This window comes from Homo sapiens, chromosome 16 (assembly GCF_000001405.40).
Source record: "Homo sapiens chromosome 16, GRCh38.p14 Primary Assembly".
NCBI lineage: Eukaryota > Metazoa > Chordata > Mammalia > Primates > Hominidae > Homo > Homo sapiens.
Genome location: NC_000016.10, coordinates 70126241 through 70147314, shown reverse-complemented (window position 1 = coordinate 70147314; position 21074 = coordinate 70126241). Strand labels below are relative to the sequence as shown.

Below are 21074 nucleotides of genomic sequence, written 5' to 3'. Positions count from 1 at the left end.
GAGAAGCTAAATCCACTTCAAAGATATCCTAATGCTTATTAAATAAAGCAAGCTTGGAGTGTAAAAAATAAACAAATAAGGCCGGGCGCAGTGGCTCACACCTGTAATCCCAGCACTTTGGGAGGCTGAGGTGGGTGGTTCACCTGAGGTCAGGAGTTCAAGACCAGCCTGGCAAACATGGTGAAACCCTGTCTCTACTAAAAATACAAAAAGTTAGCTGGGCATGGTGGCGGGCGCTTGTAATCCCAGCTACTCGGGAGGCTGAAACAGGAGAATCGCCTGAACCCGGGAAGTGGAGGTTGCAGTGAGCCGAGATCGCACCATTGCACGCCAGCCTGTGCAACAAGAGTGAAACTCTGTCTCAAAATAAATAAATAAATAAATAAATAAATAAATATACTTAGTCACTTCTTTGCTAATGAAGGGCAGCACATTTTTTTTTTTTTTTTTGAGACAGTCTTGCTCTGTTGCCAGCCTGGAGTGCAATGGCGCAATCTCGGCTCACTGCAACATCTGCCTCCCAGGTTCAAGTCATTCTCCTGCCTCAGCCTCCCGAGTAGCTGGGACCACAGGCATGCGCCACCACACCCGGCTAATTTTTGTATTTTTATATTTATTTATAAATATAAGATGTAATCCCAAAGTGCTGGGATTATAGGCGTGAGCCACTGCACCTGGCCAGCACACTCTTTTATTTGAGACAGAGTCTCACTCTGTCACCCAGGTGGAGTGCAGTGGCGTGTTCTCGGCTCACTGCGACCTCTGCCTCCAGAGTTCAAGCGATTCCTGTGCCTCAGCCTCCCAAGTAGCTGGGATTATAGGTGCGTGAGACCATACCCAGCTAATTTTTGTATTTTTAACAGAGACAGGGTCTCACCATGTTGGCCAGGCTGGTCTCAAACTCCTGACTTTGGGTGATCCACCTGCCTCGGCCTCCCAAAGTGCTAGGATTACAGGCATGTGCCACCTCACCCAGCCAAGACACTCTTTGTGGGTGCTAACACCATAGTAAGAATATGTACCTGCCACCGCTATGAAAGACACATTCTCTGCCCATTTAAGAAACAGAACTTTATCAGCACTTACCTTGCAAAAGAGGCTTGGGAAGTGGTCTGGAGTCATAGGGGCATAGGACAACTCAGACAGCACATCCACAGCTCGAGGGCCAATCAGATTGAGGGCTAAATGGAAAAGAACAAGAGATGTCCAGCTCTCCTTCTGAACAGCTGAGCCAATGGGAAAGGTCTACTGTAGACTTGCTCAGCTATAGCCAGGCCTGGGTGCAGAGACCAGGAATATGTCCCTTTGCTTAGACACTCCAAGGATGGATGCTAAGCACCCCGATTCTGGCGAATACACCTCTGCCAACAGGGCCTGCTGAACGCAGCAGGGCTGGCCATAACCACCCCACACAATTCCCGTTCTCCTCCTTTTCCCAGCAAGGCTATGTGATGGAAGAAGCCCCAACCCCAAATCAGTACCCGGTGGAGATCTGCCCAACCAAAAAGTATACAGACTTTAAATTCAGAGAAGCTAAATCCACTTCAAACATATCCTAATGCTTACTAGATAAGGAAAGCATTATTCTGGACACCAGTGTTTGTGACATCAGCTTGTGCTAATTACATGTCATCCATCCTAAGACAGGCTAGAACATGACTTTTGTTCAGTAACATTCTGTAGTATCCCAATCCAGGAGCAGGACGTATATCATATTTGCTACTACAAGGAATTGAGAATGAGAGCCTGGGAGAGCAAACGCTGGTGGGGCCAAGGGGCAAGATCAGTTAGGTGGGAAGGTGGGAGGGGTTAAGCCGAGACTGCTGAGAGTGAGAAAATCAGGGAACCAAGTCATCCTTAAAAATTAGGTACTCTCTGGGACTGGGCGTGGTGGCTCATGCCTGTAATCCCAGCACTTTGGGAGGCCGAAGCAGGTGGATCACGAGGTCAAGAGTTCAAGACCAGCCTGGCCAACATGGTGAAACCCCATCTCTACTAAAAATACAGAAATTAGCCCGGCGTGGTGGCGGGCGCCTATAATCCCAGCTACTTGGGAGGCTGAGGCAGAAGAATCGCTTGAACCCGGGAGGTGGAGGTGCAATGGCATGATCTTGGCTCACTGCAACCTCTGCCTCCCAGATTCAAGCGATTCTCCTGCTTCAGCCTCATGAGTAGCTGGGACTACAGGCATGCACCACCATGTCCAGCTAATTTTTGTATTTTTAGTAGAGATGGGGTTTCACCATGTTGGCCAGGCTGGTCTCAAATTCCTGACCTCATGATCCGCCCGCCTCAGCCTCCCAAAGTGCTGGGATTACAGGTGTAAGCCACTGTGTCCAGCCCTCAATTTTCTTTTTTTTTTTGAGATGGAGTCTCACTCGCCTAGGCTGGAGTGCAGTGGTGCAATCTGGGGCTCACTGCAACCTCTGCCTCCTGGGTTCAAGTGATTCTCCTGCCTCAGCCTCCCAAGTAGCTGGGATTACAGGTGTGTGCCACCACGCCCAGCTAATTTTTGTATTTCTAGTAGAGACGGGGTTTCACCATATAGTCCAGGTTGGTCTCGAACTCCTGACCTAGTGATCCTCCAACCTCGGCCTCCAAAAGTGCTGGGATTACAGGTGTCAGCCACCGCATCCCCTAGAGATCAATTTTCTATGACCAGAGAGCCTCTTTTATGCTAACTCTAATGTTCATTTTTGAGAGTCAAATGTAAAGAAGGCAAACGTGGACACATCTGCATCTGCTGGCCTTTTCGACGTGGCAGAGCCCGAACCCCCGTACCTGTGTACTTCCAGGTGACGTCCTCCAGGAGCAGGTTGCTGTCTTTCGGCATGTGTTTCTTAAGCCAGGCCCAACAGTGGACCTGCTGGTCGGTTGGAGAGATCATGAAGAAACTGAAAAGTGAGACCCCAAAATAATCAAAACCAGGTAGCAGCAAAAGGATCAGGAAGCAATCAAATCTTATTTGGTTTCAAAGCAATGAGGCAAATACTAGGAAATGATTTCTTAGCTTTCACAGAAGGCCAGTAGCACCATTCTAGGATACACCACCTAACAACAAAACAAAATTCTGGCTTCCTGTTAATGCCAAGAAATTATACAGATTTACTAACGTTAAGACATCGGCTGGGCACAGTGGCTCACACCTGTAATCCCAGCACTTTGGAGGCCAAGGTGGGCAGATTGCTTGAGCTCAGGTGTTCAAGATCAGCCTGGGCAATGTGGCAAAACCCTATCTCTACAAAATATACAAAAACTGGCTGGGTGTGGTGGCGTGTACCTGTGGTCCCAGCTACCTGGAAAGCTGAGGTGGGAGGATCACTTGAGCCCAGGAGGTCCAGGCTGCAGGGATCCATGATCGCATCACTGCACTCCAGCCTGGGTAACAAAGTGAGACCCTGTCTCAAAAAAAAAAAAAAGAAAAAAGACAAGGCATCTTCTCCCAGTAGGGTACATAATCTGGTGGGCTTTTTTTTCTTTTCCTCCTGGTGATTTCTTTTGTTTAGGACTGCTAATAAACTGGCTTTGATTTCATGTAATGATTCTTAGACTCTGGGATTTATGGTTCCCGGAGAAGCGCCTGAGAGCCTCTGCTACAGCACCCCTAAGGAATCAACATGTTGGAGGGAGCAGAGCGGGACGGCAGCTCATCTCACCTGCGCTTGTTCAGTCGTGCTATGCTGCAGTCATTTTCATACCCTCCACCCTCGTTGAGCATGCCAGTATGCACAATGTGGCCCACAGGCACATCCAGGTCATTGGAGAAGAGGTACTGTAGAACTTCTAATGCCTGATCCCCAGTGGACTGCAGGGTTAGGGAATGAAACAGAGAGAGTGAGCGTGAGAGCACCTGGCTGGGCCACATGGCCCCACCAGCAATGAACCTCATTGAGAAAATTCAATCAGCCAATTCCCATGTGACAACATTTGCAGACCTACTCCACTGCAAGAAGCTCCAGGGAACGCTAGCTATTGATTCTTATGATAAACAGGCCTCTCTAGCAAATTAAAAACCTGAAACAAGGAGCTAAAATTTCAGAAAAATGTTACAATACAGATGAAACACTAAAATATACCAGAATTCTTAAGAAATCAGTGTTTTGTTTTTGTTTTTTGTTTTTTTTTTTGAGATGGAGTCTCACTCTGTTGCCCAGGCTGAGTGCAGTGGCGCAATCTCAGCTCACTGCAACCTCCACCTCATGAGTTCACGCGATTCTCCTGCCTCCCGAGTAGCTGGGATTACAAGTGCCCGCCACCATGCCTGGTTAATTTTTTGTATTTTTGGTAGAGACGGTTTCGCCATGTTGGCCAGGCTGGTCTTGAACTCCTGATCTCAGGTGATCCACCCGTCTCGGCCTCCCAAACTGCTGGGATTACAGGCATGAGCCACCACTCCTGGCCTTAATTTTTGTATTTTTAGTAGAAACGGGGTTTCACCATCTTGGCCAGGCTGGTCTGGAACTCTGACCTCAGGTGATCCACGCCCCCTTGGCCTCCCAAAGTGCTGGGAATACAGGCATGACCCACTGCACCCAGTCAGGAATCAGTTTTGAAGATGAAAAACAAAAGGCATTCAATAAATATGTAAAGTTTCCTAATCTATTACTTTTTGGTTCCCAAATACTTACTGTTATCTCAAACTTTGTGAAAGAGGACATGTCAATGACACACACAGCTTCCTTACAGCACTTGACTTCAGACTCCACGATGTCAAACCAATCTGGCTTATAGAAAGTCTTGCTCTGCTCCAATGCCAGGAGGTCTACGGAATGGAAAAATCACAAGGCCCTGTAGAGTTTAGTGTAGTCCACGTGGTTCTTTTTCTTCTGTGAACACATTCTAGCCTATGCATTTGAAAATATGTTTTATTAATTCCCAGGACAAAAAAAAAAAAAAGAAGCAAAAATGAGAATGTGACTTCTTACCCTTGTCGGGGGGAACAAAGTACTTTGGCCTCTCAAATCCATGTTTCTCCATCCACCTGGCTCCCTGTGCATCCAGCCGGTCGTAGAGAGGAGAGGTGCGTAACTGCCTACCGGTCTGGAAGTCCCAGCGGGGAACCTTCAGATCATACATCAAAGCTAGAAAAGACACGAGTAGTCTATCAAAGCCCAAGACACAGATTCTAGACCTGAGTAGCCCATGTCCACTAGACTCTGGAGTTGTTTCTATTCAAAAGAGCTTTCCAGGCTAACGTAGTTTTTTTTTTTTTTTAAGACGGAGTTTTGCTCTTGTTGTCCAGGCTGGAGTGCAGTGGCACAATCTCGGCTTACTGCAACCTCTGCCTCCTGGGTTTAAGCGATTCTCCTGCCTCAGCCTCCCGAGTAGCTGGGATTACAGGCACGTGTCACCGTGCCACACTAATTTTTGTATTTTTAGTAGAGACAGGGTTTCTCCATGTTGGTCAGGCTGGTCTCAAACTCCTGACCTCAGGTGATCTGCCCGCCCCAGCCTCCCGAAGTGCTGGGATTACAGGCGTGAGCCACTCTGCCCGGCCCAATTTCCAGGCTAATGTAGTCTAATTTTCAAAATTACCCAGTGTATCAGGCATGCTCCAGAAGGAAAAGACAATCCTGCCAAGCTGCTATCGTCCCTCCCTGGAGCTACGTGTCACGGCATGACTCGGCCTGTATTCACATTCAGCATTCCACATTAGTAGGTAGAAATGATGGCAGAAAGGTCAGGGTCCTAAACCTTACCAAGCTTCATAGCAGAGAAGAAGGTTACTAAGTGGGACACAGGTGGTAACAAAATGTGAAAAAATGGCATTCGATTCTTCATTGTGCCTGTGTTAGGATCTCAGACCTGTTACAGACATTTCCTCCCTGATAATTAACTCACTTCTGAAGTGAAAGGGTACATATTGCAGCTTGATTAGGTGGCTCTGAAATCTGAGAAGTTATATTGTATTGTACCAATGACATTATTCACACAACAAAGCTAGGGTCAGAATTCATTTCTCTTAGGCCGGGTGTGGTGGCTCACGTCTGTAAACCCAGCACTGAGAGGTCGAGGTGGGCGGATCACGAGGTCAGGAGTTCAAGATCAGCCTGACCAATGTGGTGAAACCCTGTCTCTACTAAAAATACATAAATTAGCCAGGCATGGTGGCAGGCGCCTGTAATCCCAGCTACTCGGGAGGCTGAGGCAGGAGAATTGTTTGAACCCAGGAGGCAGAGGTTGCAGTGAGCCGAAATCACGCCACGGCACTCCAGCCTGGGCAATAGAGCAAGACTGTCTCGGAAAAAAAAAAAATTCATTTCCCTTAAGGTCTAATCTTCAACAGCAATAAGTAAAAAAAGCCAGAAGAGTGTGATCTGTGGTCCCTGATCTCACACCATCCCAAACAAAAGGCACATCAAGGCTTGGGGAGGTTGGGAGACAGGAGAAGGAAGCCAGGTGGGGTTCTCTGCATGGTGACAATCTCTCCATCTCCTAGTACTTTCGGTTCTATCATCCCCTCCCCCATTTTCTTTTCTATTTTTTTTTTATTTTTTGTTGAGATGGAATCCCTCTCTATCACCCAGGCTAGAGTGCAGTGGTGAGATCTTGGCTCACTGCAACCTCCATCTCCCGGGTTCAAGTGATTGTCCTGCCTCAGCCTGCCAAGTAGCTGGGATCACAGGCACGTACCACCACATCTGGCTAAATTTTTGTATTTTTAGTAGAGACAGGGTTTCGCCATGTTGGTCAGGCCAGACCTCCTGACCTCAAGTGATCCGCCTGCCTCAGCCTCCCAACATGCTGGGATTACAGGCTTGAGCCACTGCGCCTGGCGCCTTCCCCATTTTCTATGTGCCTGCCACTTCTATTTCATGAGAATTGGCTACCAAAAGTGTCATATCACCAAGCAGAAGCTCAAGCTCAATTATGATTTGTACAGGTTCCAAAGTAACTATGGGTAGGGAAATTTAGGCTTATAATAGTTCAACTTTAAAACAAAAAACTTTGATTTTGTATTTTATTTTTTTGAGACAGGGTCTCAGTCCCACTGCCCAGGCTGGAGTACACAGTGGCACCATCATGGCTCACTGCAGCCTCAACTTCCCCAGCTCAGGTGATTCGCCTACCTCAGCCTCCCAAGTAGCTGGGACTTCAGGTGTGTGCCACTAGGCATGGCTAATTTTTTGGTTTTGGTTTTAGTAGAGACAGGGTTTCGCTACGTTGCCTAGGCTGGTCTCAAACTCCTGACCTCAAGTGACCTACCTCCCTCAACGTCCCAAAGTGCTGGGATTACAGGCATGAGCCACCACACCCAGCCAAGTTCAACATTTTAACCAAAATATTTGCTAAAATTAAAGAACCTTAGCAGTTAAACATATTGCTGTTAGGTCCTTCATCTCCATGGATGTACATCCTCTTCCCAGGCCAAAAGTGAGCACTCAGGCATTAAAGGCCATCCAGAGTCCTCACCAACAATGTTGTTCAACTACCAAACTAACAGTTTACTTGCAACCAAGAATGGTGGTCAGAGCCAACACAGAAACTTAGTCCTGAGCATAAGTATGCCCAAAATATTTAGATACCATTTGGCAAAGTCTGAGAACAGCTCCTCAGTACAGGAAAATGAAATTACAACTTGAACCCACGTGGTTTGGTTCAATTCCTGATACAAAAGCTTTCTAAGGGCTTCCTAGAAAATAAATCAGAGATCAAGGTAGAATAACAAATTAAGATGAAGTGGCCAATCCTTCAAAGTTGAAGCAGGGCGAGAACACGGGAGTGAGAGCAGGAATGTATGTTTTGTATTTATATGGGAAGTGGCTCCCAATCTTGCTGCTGTAGGGTGGATTAATGGTGAAAGTCACTCACGGAAGCCTGAAGCTCTGAGAATAACTCGGCAAATTCTCTGACTTGGAAAGAAAAAACTAAGTGGGGAGTGAGAAAGCATTTTCTCAAAAACTAAGTGGGAGTGAGAAAGCATTCACTTCGACACAGGGTCTCTCAAGGCAGACTGCAGAAAGCACGCACTTCGACATACGGTCTCTCAAGGCAGACCGGGAAGAAGGCATTGCTTAGAATATTTATGAAGCTGCTATGTACCAACTGTAACTCCTATTCTATTTTCTTGTTCTCAGAATGAAACAAGGTCCGATGCACTAAAGAAAATGTTACGTATATATCATGAGGAGCATAAAGCCCCTTAACTCAGGCCTGAAACAGTCAAATCAAATGCCCAACTCAAAGCACTTGTTAAAGAACTGAGGAAAACTTTGCTCCTTCTGAATGACAACACGGGCCACCGAGAAGATACCTGCAACTAGGAGCAACTGCGATAAAGCTTCACTTACGCATGACTTCCATGACCCGGTGGCGCAGAAAGGTGCGGCTGCTCTGGAGGGCTCCAAAACGTTTCAGGTCCAATTCCCAAACGTTTTCTGAGGGATAACCATGTACCATCCATTCGGCAAGGTACCTATATAGACAGAGGGCACGTGTTGGGGCTCAGGTGTGAGATTTGAGAAAATTAATATTCTACAAATCGAGAACAAACAGAATCAAAAGATCCTAAATTGCCATAGACCAGCTGAATAGTTTTGGGCACTTTCCTTAACTTTTCTGGAAGAAACGAACATGGGTCTGTGTACTGCTCTCAAAAGACTACTATGAGGATTTTACCCCAGATGATAAGATTCCCTAGGAGGTATTTAACATAGAAGCCAGCCAGACACATTGGCTGATGCCTGTAATCCCAGAACTTTGGGAGGCTGAGGCAGGAGATTGCTTGAAGTCAGGAGTTTGAGACCAGCCTGGGCAACATAGTAAGACCCCGTCTCTACAGAAAAAAAAAAGTTTCAAAGTGAGCCAGGTGGCTCACACCTGTAATCCCAGCACTTTGGGAGGCCGAGGCAGACGGATCACTTGAGGTCAGGAGTTCGAAACAAGCCTGACCAATGTGGAGAAACCCTGTCTCTATTAAAAATACAAAATTAGCCAGTGTGGTGGCACACGCCTGTAATCCCAGCTACTACGGAGGCTGAGGAAGGAGAATTGCTTGAACCTGGGAGGCAGAGGTTGCAGTAAGCCTAGATCACGCCATTGCACTCCAGCCTGGGCAACAAGAGCGAAACCCCAACTCAAAAAAAAAAAAAAAAAAAAAAAAAAAATTAGCCGGCGTGGTGGCACATGCCTGTAATCCCAGCTACTCGGGAGGCTGAGGCAGGAGAATCACCTGAACCCGGGAGGCAGAGGTTGTGGTGAGCCGAGATTGTGCCATTGCACTCCAGCCTGGGCAACAAGAGCAAAACTTCGTTTCAAAAAAAAAAAAAAAAAAAAGAGCTGGGTATGGTGGCACACGCCTGCAGTTAGTTCTAGCTCTTCTGGAGTCTGATGCGGGATGATCCCTTGAGCCCAGGAACTTGCGGCTGCAGTGAGCTATGATGGTGCCACTGCACTCCAGCCTGGGTGAGAGTAAGATCTTGTTTCAAAAAAGTTATAAGCCTCATCTATGAAGAAATAAGACTAAAACACATACAAATATACTCTAAATATCCAATGGGTTTTTTTCTGTCACCTAAAGATTATACAGTTACGTGACCACATCTCCTTTGCTCCAAACATTTTTCTAACTCCTCTTCTGTAACTGTTTTCAGAGCCATTCTACAAATCACTCAAGAGAACTGGTCTCATAAATTTAAAATAAACTTTTCATCGTGGCTACCATCTTACCCATTTGTAAGTATTCAGTTCAGTGGCAGTGGGTACATTCACACTGCGGTGTAACCTTCACCACCATCCATCCTAGAACTCTTTTCCTCTTGCATTTCTGGAACTCTGTGCTCATTCAAGAATAGCTCCCCTCCCCCGCCTCTGGCAACCACCATTGTACTTTCTGTCTCTATGATGTGACAACTCTAGCAACTTCATATAAGTGGAACCACACGGTATTTGTCCTTTTGTGACTGGCTTATTTAATGTTCATTAGTGTCTTATTTTATTTTATTATTATTATTTTTATTGAGATAGAGTCTCGCTCTGTTGCCCAGGCTGGAGTGCAGTGGCGCAATCTCGGCTCACTGCAAGCTCTGCCTCCTGGGTTCACGCCATTCTCCTGTCTCAGCCTCCCGAGTAGCTGGGACCACAAGCACCCGCCACAACGCCCGGCTAATTTTGTTTGTGTATTTTTAGTAGAGATGGGGTTTCACTGTGTTAGCCAGAGTGGTCTCGATCTCATGACCTTGTGATCCGCCCACCTCGGCCTCCCAAAGTGCTGGGATTACAAGCGTGAGCCACTGCGCCCGGCCTAGTGTCTAATTTTTAAATAAAAACTTGTGGCCGGGCACAGTGGCTCATCCTGTAATCCTAGCACTTTGGGAGGCCAAGGTGGGTGGATCACTTGAAGTCAGGAGTTCAAGACCAGCCTGGCTAACATGGTGAAACCCTGTCTCTACTAAAAATAGAAAAATTAGCCAGATGTCTTGGCACACACCTCTAATCCCAGCTACTCGGGAGGCTGAGGTAGGAGAATAGCCTGAACCCAGGAGGTGGAGGTTGCAGTGACCTGAGATCATGTCACTGCATTCCAGCCTGGGTGACAGAGCAAGACTGTCTAAAAAAACAAACAAACCGTGTATTACCTAGTTCAAATACCTACCTCAATCAACATACTTGGCTACCAAACTCAAATACACACTCAAATGACCAATATTTGTTATAACTGAAAAAATATAAAAGAATATCCCACAGGATCTGTGGCTAACTCCAAAAGATGAGTTGCAAAAACATTTTGCCCGATGACATTTCTGGAACATGGGGAGCCTCTCATACTTAGAAGGGGACAACTCCAAAATTACATGTATCTTCTTATTAGTCTTAACATACTAGATTAAATATACCACACGCCATGTTAATAACAAGTAATTCTAGAAGGGAAGAGACCCAGCAAGTTGACTTATGTTCACAGCTGACTTTGAGTGAGAAAGACTTACTTTCCGGCTCCTCCACCAAATGAAAGGCCAGCAGAGTTCATTCCTGCCAGGACAAAGTAGCCCTGCACTGCAGGAGACTCGCCCATGATGCACCTCATGTCTGGTGTGAAGGTCTCTGGGCAGTTCACCAACTTCATGATCTCCAGAGTCTCTAATTCTGGCATCCTCCTCAGAAGGGAACTCAACAGAGGCTCTGAGCAATGACAACAAAACCAAATAGAGTTCTCACCTTTAAGGAATTAAACCACTTTCAACCCCTCTACTTTTTTACACTCTCCCCTTTCAGAAAACCTCTTGATTTTTTTTTTTTTTTTTTTTGAGATGGAGTCTCACTCTGTCGCCCCGGCTGGAGTGTGGTGGCACGATCTCGGCTCACTGCAACCTCTGCCTCCCAGGTTCAAGCTACTCTCTCACCTCAGCCTGCCAATTAGCTCGGATTACAGGCGTGCACCACCATGCCCAGCTAATTTTTTGTATTTTTAGTAGAGATGGGGTTTCACCATGATGGCCACACTAGTTTCGAACTCTTGACCTCAAGTGATCTGCCTGCCTCGGCCTCCCAAAGTGCTAGGATTATAGGTGTGAACCACTGCGTCCGGCTGGAAGAGATTTTTTTAAAGACGAGCCAACTGGGCCATTTATCACAAAGCAGAAACCTTGGTAGAATTACAGGATATAGCTGCAAAATACTTGGTATAAAGACTGAGGAAAAAAGATATTGGTTAGAAAGGAAAGCAGCAGAGAACAGCAAGTAAAACGTATCTACAGATAATAATCTTGAAGGGACCAGTGTGAGTGGAAAAGCTCTTAAATGGCGGCCACAGAGATTTTAATAAAAGGTGATGTTCTGAGCTGGGCATGGTGGCTTGCATTTGTAACCCCGGCACTTTGGGAGGCCAAGGTGGGCGGATCACCTGAGGTCAGGAGTTCAAGAGCATTATGGCCAAAATGGCGAAGCCTCGTCTCTACTAAAAATACAAAAATTAGCCAGTCGTGATGGTGGAAGCCTGTAACCCCAGCTACTCGGGAGGCTGAGGCAGAAAAATCGCTTGAATCTGAGAGGCGGAGGTTGAAGTGAGCAGAGATCGTGACACTGCACTCCAGCCTGGGCAATAGAGTGAAACTCCATCTCAGGAAAAAAAAAAAAAAAGGCAATGTTCTGCATTGGAATAGCTGCAAAAGACAGACTTTCACCCTGCTTTAAAGGAAATCTACCATCAGGACATAATCCAGTGGACAGCAGAAAAAGATGAAACCAGACCAGAGCTGGATAATGGGTACATGGGGGCTCATCATACTACTCTCGCCAGGTTTGTTTAGTAGACACATAGTCTCCAGTCTCGCCATGTTGCCCAGGCTGGTCTTCACTTCCTGGGCTCCAGTGATCCTCCCATCTTGGCCTCCCAAAATGATGGAATTACAGGTGTAAGCCACTGTGCCCAGCTTCTATCCACTTTTAAAAGTTTGAAATTTTCCGTAAGAATTTATTAAAAAAAGAAAGCCCATCAAGGGTCAGAGGGAAATTCTTCATTAGAGACTCTTTCATCTTTTTAAATTTGGAACTAGGTAACTATATTATTATTATTATTTTTTTTTTTTTTGAGATGGAGTCTCGCTCTGTCACCCAGGCTGGAGTGCAGTGGTGCGATCTCAGCCCACTGCAGCCTCTGCCTCCCGGGTTCCAGCAATTCTCCTGCCTCAGCCTCCCACGTAGCTGGCGTTACAGGTGTGCGCCACCACATCCAGCTAATTTTTATATTTAGACGGGTTTTTGCCATGTTGGCCAGGCTGGTCTTGAACTCCTGACCTCAGGCGATCTGCCCGCCTTGGCCTCCCAAAGTGCTGGGATTACAGGCCTTAAAGGCCAGGTGCGGTGGCTCATACCGGTAATCCCAGCACTTTGGGAGGCCGAGGCGGGTGGATCGCTTGAGGTCAGGAGTTCAAGACCAGCCTGGCCAAATAGTGAAACCCCATCTCTACTAAAAACACAAAAACTGGCTCTGCGTTGTGGTGGGCGCCTGTAATTCCAGCTACCTGGGAGGCTGAGGCAGGAGAATTGCTTGAATCCAGGAGGCGGAGGATGCAGTGAGCTAAGATCGCACCACTGCACTCCAGCCTGGGCAACAGAGCAAGACTCCATCTCAAAATGAATGAATGGATACATAAATAAATAAAATTATTTTAAAATTTAATAAAATACTACACTAACAAAACAATTCTGAAAAACAAAACAAAACAAAACAATTCTGTTTTCTAAAGAACTCTTCAATTTTATATGAAGTCCTACTGAAAGAAGTCTCCTCCTAAAACCTAAAATCTGAGCAATAATTTTAGGTGAATAAAGAATAAGCAGGGGCCGGGCATGGTGGCTCACGTCTGTAATCCCAGCACTTTGGGAGGCCAAGGCGGGCAGATCTCCTGAGGTCAGGAGTTCGAAACCAGCCTGACCAACATGGAGAAACCCTGTCTCTACTAAAAATACAAAATTAGCCAGGCGTGGTGGCGCATGTCTGTAATCCCAGCTACTCAGGAGGCTGAGGCAGGAGAATCACTTGAACCCGGGAGGCAGACGTTGCGGTGAGCCGAGATCGCACCATTGCACTTGAGCCTGGGCAACAAGAGTGAAACTCCATCTCAAAAAAAAACAAAAAAACAAAAAAAAGAAGCAGAGCTGGGCACAGTGGCTCACACCTTTACTCCCAGCACTTTGGGAGACCAAGGCAGGCAGATCACTTGAGGCCAGGATTTCAAGACCAGCCTGGCCAACGTGGTAAAATCCTGTCTCTACTAAAAATACATAAACTAGCTGGACATGTTGATGCATGCCTGTAATCCCAGCTACTCAGGAGGCTGAGGCATGAGAATCACTTGAACCTAGGAGGTGGAGGTTGGAGTGAGCCGAGATTGTGCCACTGCACTCCAGTCTGGGCGACAGAGCAAGACTCTTATCTCAAAAAAAAAAAAAGGCCAGACGCAGTGGCTCATGCCTGTAATCCCAGCACTTTGGGAGGCTGAGGCAGGCGGATCACCTGAGGTCAGGAGTTCAAGACCAGCCTGATCAACATGGTGAAACCCTGTCTCTACTAAAAACACAAAAATTAGTCGGGAGTGGTGGCAGGCGCTTGTAATCCCACCTACCACCTACTCTGGAGGCTGAGGCAGGAGAATCACTTGAACCGGGGAGGCAGAGGTTGCAGTGAGCCGAGATCACACCACTGCACTCCAGCCTGGGCAACAGAGCGAGACTTCATCTCAAAAAAAAAAAAAAAAAAAAAGCAGCTGGGTATCATGGCTCATGCCCGTAATCACAGCACTTTGGGAAGCTGAGGCAGGATTGACTGAGCCCAAGAGTTCGAGACCAGCCTGGGCAACACAGCGAGACCCCATCTCAACAAAAAATTTAAACATTAGCTAGGCATGGTGGCAAGCACCTGTAATCCCAGCTACTTGGGAGGCTGATGTGGCAGGATTGCTTGAGCTCACGAATTTGAGGCTACAGTGAGCTATGATCATGCCACTGCACTCCAGCCTAGGTGACAGGGCAAGACGCCATCTCACACACACACAAAATGATAGAGATGACTAAACACACACAAAGGGCTAGGTACAGTGGCTCACATCTGTAATCTTAGCACTTTGGGAGGCCAAGGTGAAAGGGATCACTTGAGCCTTGGAGTTCGAGATCAACCTGGGCAACATGGCGAGACCATGTCTCTACCAAAAAGAAGAAAAAAAAAAAGCTATGAGACCAGGAGTTCGGGGCTGCAGTGAGCTATAATTGTGCAACTGCACTCCAGTCTGAGCACGGAGCAAGGCTCCGTCTCAAGAAATAAAAAAAAAAAAGTAAAACTAAGAATAAAATTAAAAAAGAATAAGGCAAATGTCTATTAACTAAGATTTTAGTCCCCTGAATCTGCTACCTAGTAACTCCATCCTCAGACCAGGCAAACTCACCCTCTGTAACCACTGTTGTACCTCATGGCGATGTTATAAACATTAAACAAGGAACTATTCTTCAAAATACTTTGAAAAATATAACATCTTAAACAAATATAAGGCACTACGGTTATAATGCAGTTCACATACCAAAGTGATCCCAGTCTTCCTGTAGATTCTGAATCTCCAGCTGGTTCTTGCCCTCAGTGAAAATTGGTTTCGGGTTCTTCTCAAAGCCCCCAGACAGGATGCCACCCTGCCAGTTCCGAATATAAATTCTTCCATCAGCATCCACAATAGCTGAGGTGGAGAAATGACATGGAGTGGGGAGTGGAAGAAAAAACAAGGGTTTAGAGGCAAGTCAGCTTTCTAAATGGACAGAACAACCAAACAAAAACACCCATTAATGGCTTTATTAATGAAAGAACATTCAATGAACACAGGCATTCATTAGCTTTAAAATACCTTTTGAGGTCACGGGGGAAGATCCTCCCATTTAGCCTTTCAGTGGAGACTGTTTCTCTGATTATCCCTTACCTAGAAGCTTTGACTAGTCCCCACAAGCAAACCACGTAACTCCCACTGTGCCAAGCGAAAGTTTAACAGAGAGGGGGGTTGCAGAGCCCATTCTAGGCATGAAGACCGTCAAAAGGATGTGAGAACCCTCTCCTACAGTGCTTGGAACCACGAACCCACCTAAGTCTATTGTTTACCTATGACATTTCTACTATCCATAGCATTCAAGTTAAAAAGTCAACAAGACAGTCCAAATATTCTCAATGACCTCTGTTTAGGACTAAAATTAGCTTGCAAAACAAACAAAAACAAAAAAATGTATTAATGGAAATTTTGGCCATCCTTTCATAAAGAGTTAATAAAGAAAAGTCAGAATTGGGTCCACCTCCCTGTAACATGCTCTAGAAATGAAAGACTCTTTCAGACACAGGCTGTCCTTAGCAGAAAGTTTTCCTTTTCAGAGGACAGGATACTGGCAAAGAAACAAGATTTTTTAAAAAAGTGCAAGTCCTCACTTGGTGTGCTGCTCTGCAGAGGGGTCTCCAAGGGGCGAGTCAGGAGGTAGAAGTGTTCGCAGGCATGTAGCGGGATACTAACCGGCTCCTCGTTGGACAGACCCAGCTCGTATGCCCACTACAAATGGACAGGTTGATTTGTGGGTGGGAAGAGGAACAGAAATAAAAATGAGCAAGTTCAGCCTCTTGAGATTAATTCCAAGTGGCTTATGTGTGCTCTTGCTACAGTGTCAGGTGTGGGAAGTCAGCCTGCTTTAGTTCAATTATTTGGATGGGGAGCAATACTACATTTTTTAAGACATAAAAATTACTTTGAGATCAAAGGAAGAGATATTTACCAGCTAGTCAAAGGAGCTCATGGGAACCAAAGGAGGTCCTTTTGATAAAACGCCTGGGCTCAGCTACAAACCCCAAATAGCAATCACTAAATGAACTTCACATGGCAAAAGTATTTCTTAGTTCACTTCGGGATCATAGCATGGAAGGCAAGAGCCAATCTGCTTTAAAAGAAGCAGTGTCCTGGAAATTAGTGTCCACATTCCTGACACAATAAAATAGCCTAATATGTTATTTGCTAGGTTATAGAATGAAATGTAACATCAAGACCCAGTGCCAAGGATTCACGTCAATGCCTGACCATTTGCTGGCCTTCCTGACCAGGATAGCACCCATCAACCCAGTGTGGAGGAAGGACAAGGTCACACAGGCTTCTATTTGCAGACTAAGTGTAGGTTTCTGATTTAGAATACCCTACAAGAAACAGCGTAGTTACTGATATCTGTATAACCAATCACAATACTAATCTTACTTCTCTACACCAAAAAAATCTTGGAGACAAACGTTAAATAAGAACAGCAGTGTTGGTGCTGACCTACCTGGCCAGCACAGTTGACAAAATACTGGCATTCAATCTGTCCTTTATCGGTCTCCACTCCAGTAACTTGACCTTTTTTGACCATTACATGAAGAACAGATGTCCGGTCATAGATCTGAACACCTGTTCCAAGGTAAAGAAAGAGTTGGTGTTTCATCTGATGTTCCAGAATGAAGGCATGTGCAGCAGGTTCTCCACCCAGAAGAAACACTGACAAAGTCAAGTCAATGCTTTAATTTATTTTTTTATTTTATTTTTGAGATGGAGTCTTGCTTTGTCGCCAAGGGTGGAGTGTAGTCGTGCGATCTTGGCTCGCTCTCTGCCTCCTGGGTTCAAGCAATTCTCCTGCCTCAGCCTCTCAAGTAGCTGGGATTACAGGCATGCACCACCATGCCCGGCTAATTTTAGTATTTTTAATAGAGATGGGGTTTTACCATGTTGGTCAGCCTGGTCTTGAACTCCTGGCCTCAGGTGATCCGCCTGCCTTGGCCTCCCAAAGTGCTGGGATTACAGGCATGAGACACCACGCCCGGCTCAATGCTTTCATTTAAAAAAAACACAAAACCCTAGAATCACATCCTGAGACTATGTAAATGGGCCTTGTTCAAGATTGAAAATAGCAACTCAGTTTAAAAACAGACTTTGGAACACAATAATTAAATTCCTGGAATCATAAACTATGGAGCAGAGAGGAGAGGATGTAAATAGTGCGCCTTAAGTGCTAACCTGCTCATACCATGGATATGATACCCTGGACGCTAGTTAAGTCTTCCCCTCATTCAATGCAACTGGGCTCATGATTTCAGGTGTGGATTAAACTTCCAAGGTGTGTTTTCACCTTGAGCTTCTCAAGTCCTGTGGCGGAAAATATTACCTTAAGTCCAAAGGGCATTAATTGGCAGGGCACAGTGGCTCACGCCTGTAATCCCAGCACTTAGGGAGGCCGAGGCAGGTGGATCATCTGAGGTCAGGAGTTCAAGACCAGCCTGGCCAATATGGCGAAACCCCGTCTCTACTAAAAATACACAAAAAAATTAGCCGGGTGTAGTGGGGCACGCCTGTAGTCCCACCTACTCGGGAGGCTGAAGCAGGAGGATCACATGAACCCAGGAGGCGAAGGTTGCAGTGAGCCAAGATTGTGCCATTGCACTCCAGCCTGGGCGAAAAGAGTGAAGCTCTGTCTCCAAAAAAGGGGCATTAATTAGCACTAAAAGCAGTTCTTTAGAACTTTAAAAATGTGGCCCTGAGGGAAAACACTCATTAACAGATAAATAAAATTATAAGTGTTCAAAATGGAGGCTGAGTACCCCAAAGAGGATAATCTTTCCAAACTTGAGTTGGTGTCACTTCCTATTGTGAGACACTTCCTTAGGTAATGTCTTCCCTGCTAACCTATCTTAAGAAAATGCAAAAACCTGCTCACCATTTTGGGAGGCAGCACTTGCCAGGGCAAGAGCCACGTCAGCGGAAGACACCACTGCATCCTCGGGAACATGCATGGCCCCCACCAGGTCGTGCACGTTGAGGAGATGGTGAAGCTCGGCCACTTTCTTGGGGGAGATGATCTCAGAAGGGATACCTATAACACTGCCACAGAACACAAGGGACAATGACATTCACAGGCTCTTTGGCAGAGGCCAGTGTGGTAAAGTCAGGACACGCTTCTAGACTCTTACGTACTTCAGCCCTGCGTTGATGCGCTTCAGGGAGATCAGTCGGTCCTGAGTTTGGGCCAGAAAGATTGAGCCTGTCCTTGTGTAACCTGTAAGAAAAATGAGCCCAAATGAGACAGATCAGACCAAATGTAGGACAGGAGAGTGGAAAATCCACTAGATTATAGGTTAGAAGACCTGTGATGAATCCTGGGACTGCCACTCAATATCCTTGGGCAGGTAAATCAGCTTCTCTGAGCTTCTATGCAAAATTTTAAGAACTTCAGATGCACTAAGGCTCCATGCCCTGACCAAACATTCTCAGCTCACAGTTTTGTGAGGTTGTGAGGATCAAATGAGATTCTAGGCCAGGTGTAGTGGCTCATGCTTGTAATCGCAGCACTTTGGGAGGCTGAGGGGGGCGGATCATCTGAGGTCAGTAGTTTGAGACCAGCCTGGCCAGCATGGTGAAACCCTGTCTCTACTAAAAATATAAAAATTAGCCAGGTGTGGTGGTGCACGCCTGTAATCCCAGCTACCGGGAAGGCTGAGGCAGGAGAATTGCTTGAACCCAGGAGGTGGAGGTTGCAGTGGGTCAAAATTGCACCACTGCACTCTAGCCTGGGTAACAGAGTGAGACTTTGTCTTTAAAAAAAAGAAAAAAAAAAAAGACAGTTTTGGGCAGGGATTCGACCATCCCTATTCTTCCCACCTTTTAGGCAGTTTCACCCTTTCTCCTCCTAGTCTTGGGGGAGTGTAATCCCTGGCAAAGGCCACTCACAATAACATCAGCTACCAAGGGTCGGATTCTCCCTTCTTCTTCCCCAGTATAGCCAAACAGTGGGCATGTGACCTAAGCTTATCCAATCAGACCCTCCTGGAAGAGTCAGTCTTGAGCACGTAGGTGAATGACTAGAGGTCACCATCTCAAGGGCAGCATCAGCCACGCCAGGCTGCTCCTGTTCTCGCTGAGGGACTGCCTGCGGTGCAGTCCCCACATCCTGGCTTCCAGGCTGCCTCCAGCTGGCAGCCTCCTGCCAACTCCACAGGCCCAAGCTCCTCCCAACAAGCTCCAAGTTGGCCAGAGCCAATTCCTGTTGTCTGTAATCAACACACCTGATATAGAACCATAATTACACTTGGGCCAATGACAATTCTCCTAAAATGCAATGACTCTTAATTCTTATGAAGAAAGAGTTGAAGCAATTTGGTATCTTATTTTCAAAAGAAGTACAGTAAGGATAATTTACATATTTTCTTAATTTCTTAGTAGAGACGGGGTTTCACCATGTTAGCCAGGATGGTCTCGATCTCCTGACCTCGTGATCCGCCTGCCTCGGCCTCCCAAAGTGCTGGGATTACAGGCGTGAGCCACCATGCCCGGCCAACCCAAGTTTTAATTACCAAAGCAGCAGGCACACCTGGCAGAGGACCAAATACAGAAATGAATATAACAATCTCAGGGACAGGCAAAGCAATAAATGGAAGACACTTGCTTACCTGTTTGGATCCCTGTTTCTTGCTCTAACTGATAGTAGAGTTTGTTTGAGTAGTCTGCCATCTTCTGCTCAATGGTCAAGTGCCTGGCAGTGCTCAGGATGCCAGCACAGAACCTGGTAGAGCCAGCAGCCAGCCTGCAGGATGGATGCAAAATGCTATTAGGTAGATTGACGTCATCTGTGAATACGAGGTCAGGGTTTCTCATTTAATACTGTTTCTAACACCAAAAGATGGAAACAAGCTGGGCACAGTGGCTCACACTTATAATCCCAGCACTTTAGGAGGCCAAGGTAGGAGGACTGAGGACTGCTTGAGGACAGGGGTTTACGACCAGCCTGGTCAACACAGGGAGAACCCATCTCTACCAACAACAACAACAAAATTAGCCAGGCATGGTAGCACATGCCTGCAGTCCCAGCTACTTGGGAGGCTAAGGCCAGAGGAGCGCTTGAGTTCAAAAGGTAGAGGTTGCAGTGAGCTGTGATCACATCTCTGCACTCCAGCTTGGGCAACAGGGTGAGAAAAATGTTCAATGACATGGGACAGATTTAAAATTCTGGATAGTTTAGGCCAGGCACAGTGGCTCATGCCTGTAATCCCAGCACTTTGACAGGCTGAGGTAGCAGGTTCACTGGAGGCCAGGAGTTCAAGACTGGCCTGGGCAACATAGCCAGACTGTGTCTCTACCAAAAAAAGATAAAAATAAAAATAAATAAACAAATAAAAATAAAGGCTGAGTGCGGTGGCTCACGCCTGTAATCCCAGCACTTTGGGAGGCTGAGGTGGGCGGATCACAAGGTCAGGAGATCGAAACCATCTTGGCTAACACAGTGAAACCCCGTCTCTACAAAAAATACAAAAAATTAGCCAGGCATTGTGGCAGGCGCCTGTAGTCCCAGCTACTCGGGAGGCTGAGGAAGGAGAATGGCATGAACCCGGGAGGTGGAGCTTGCAGTGAGTCAAGACTGTGCCACGGCGTTCCAGCCTGGGTGACAGAGCGAGACTCCGCCTCAAAAAAAAGTAAAAAAAATAAAGATAAAAGTTAGCCAGGCTACTTGGGAAGCTGAGGCAAGAAGATCCCTTGATCCCAAAAGTTTGCGGCTGCAGTGAGCTAGCATTGTGCCACTACACTTCAGACTAAGCAATAGAGCAA

At 46.4% G+C, this 21074-nt stretch overlaps 1 protein-coding gene across 20 annotated transcripts in view; it reads right to left on the bottom strand.

The window, feature by feature from the left end:
• PDPR (pyruvate dehydrogenase phosphatase regulatory subunit) overlaps positions 1-21074 on the bottom strand; it is a 49802-nt gene that overhangs the window by 16113 nt on the left and 12615 nt on the right. For 10 of the 20 annotated variants that reach the window (NM_001322117.1, NM_001322118.1, XM_017023388.3 and 7 more), the window contains 13 exons: positions 19922-20055; positions 18450-18531; positions 18193-18356; positions 16771-16892; positions 15896-16013; positions 15015-15164; positions 10929-11121; positions 8292-8416; positions 4926-5081; positions 4629-4762; positions 3657-3805; positions 2782-2894; positions 1087-1181 (listed from right to left, as the gene is read on the bottom strand). In NM_001322117.1, coding sequence (NP_001309046.1) covers positions 1087-1181; positions 2782-2894; positions 3657-3805; positions 4629-4762; positions 4926-5081; positions 8292-8416; positions 10929-11121; positions 15015-15164; positions 15896-16013; positions 16771-16892; positions 18193-18356; positions 18450-18531; positions 19922-20055 — 1735 coding nt within the window. Of the gene's footprint in view, positions 1-1086; positions 1182-2781; positions 2895-3656; positions 3806-4628; positions 4845-4925; positions 5082-8291; positions 8417-9130; positions 9229-10928; positions 11122-15014; positions 15165-15895; positions 16014-16770; positions 16893-18192; positions 18357-18449; positions 18532-19921; positions 20056-21074 lie in introns of those variants that run through there. The other 10 variants (XM_047434304.1, XM_047434306.1, XM_006721225.4 and 7 more) reach the window with 6 other exon arrangements.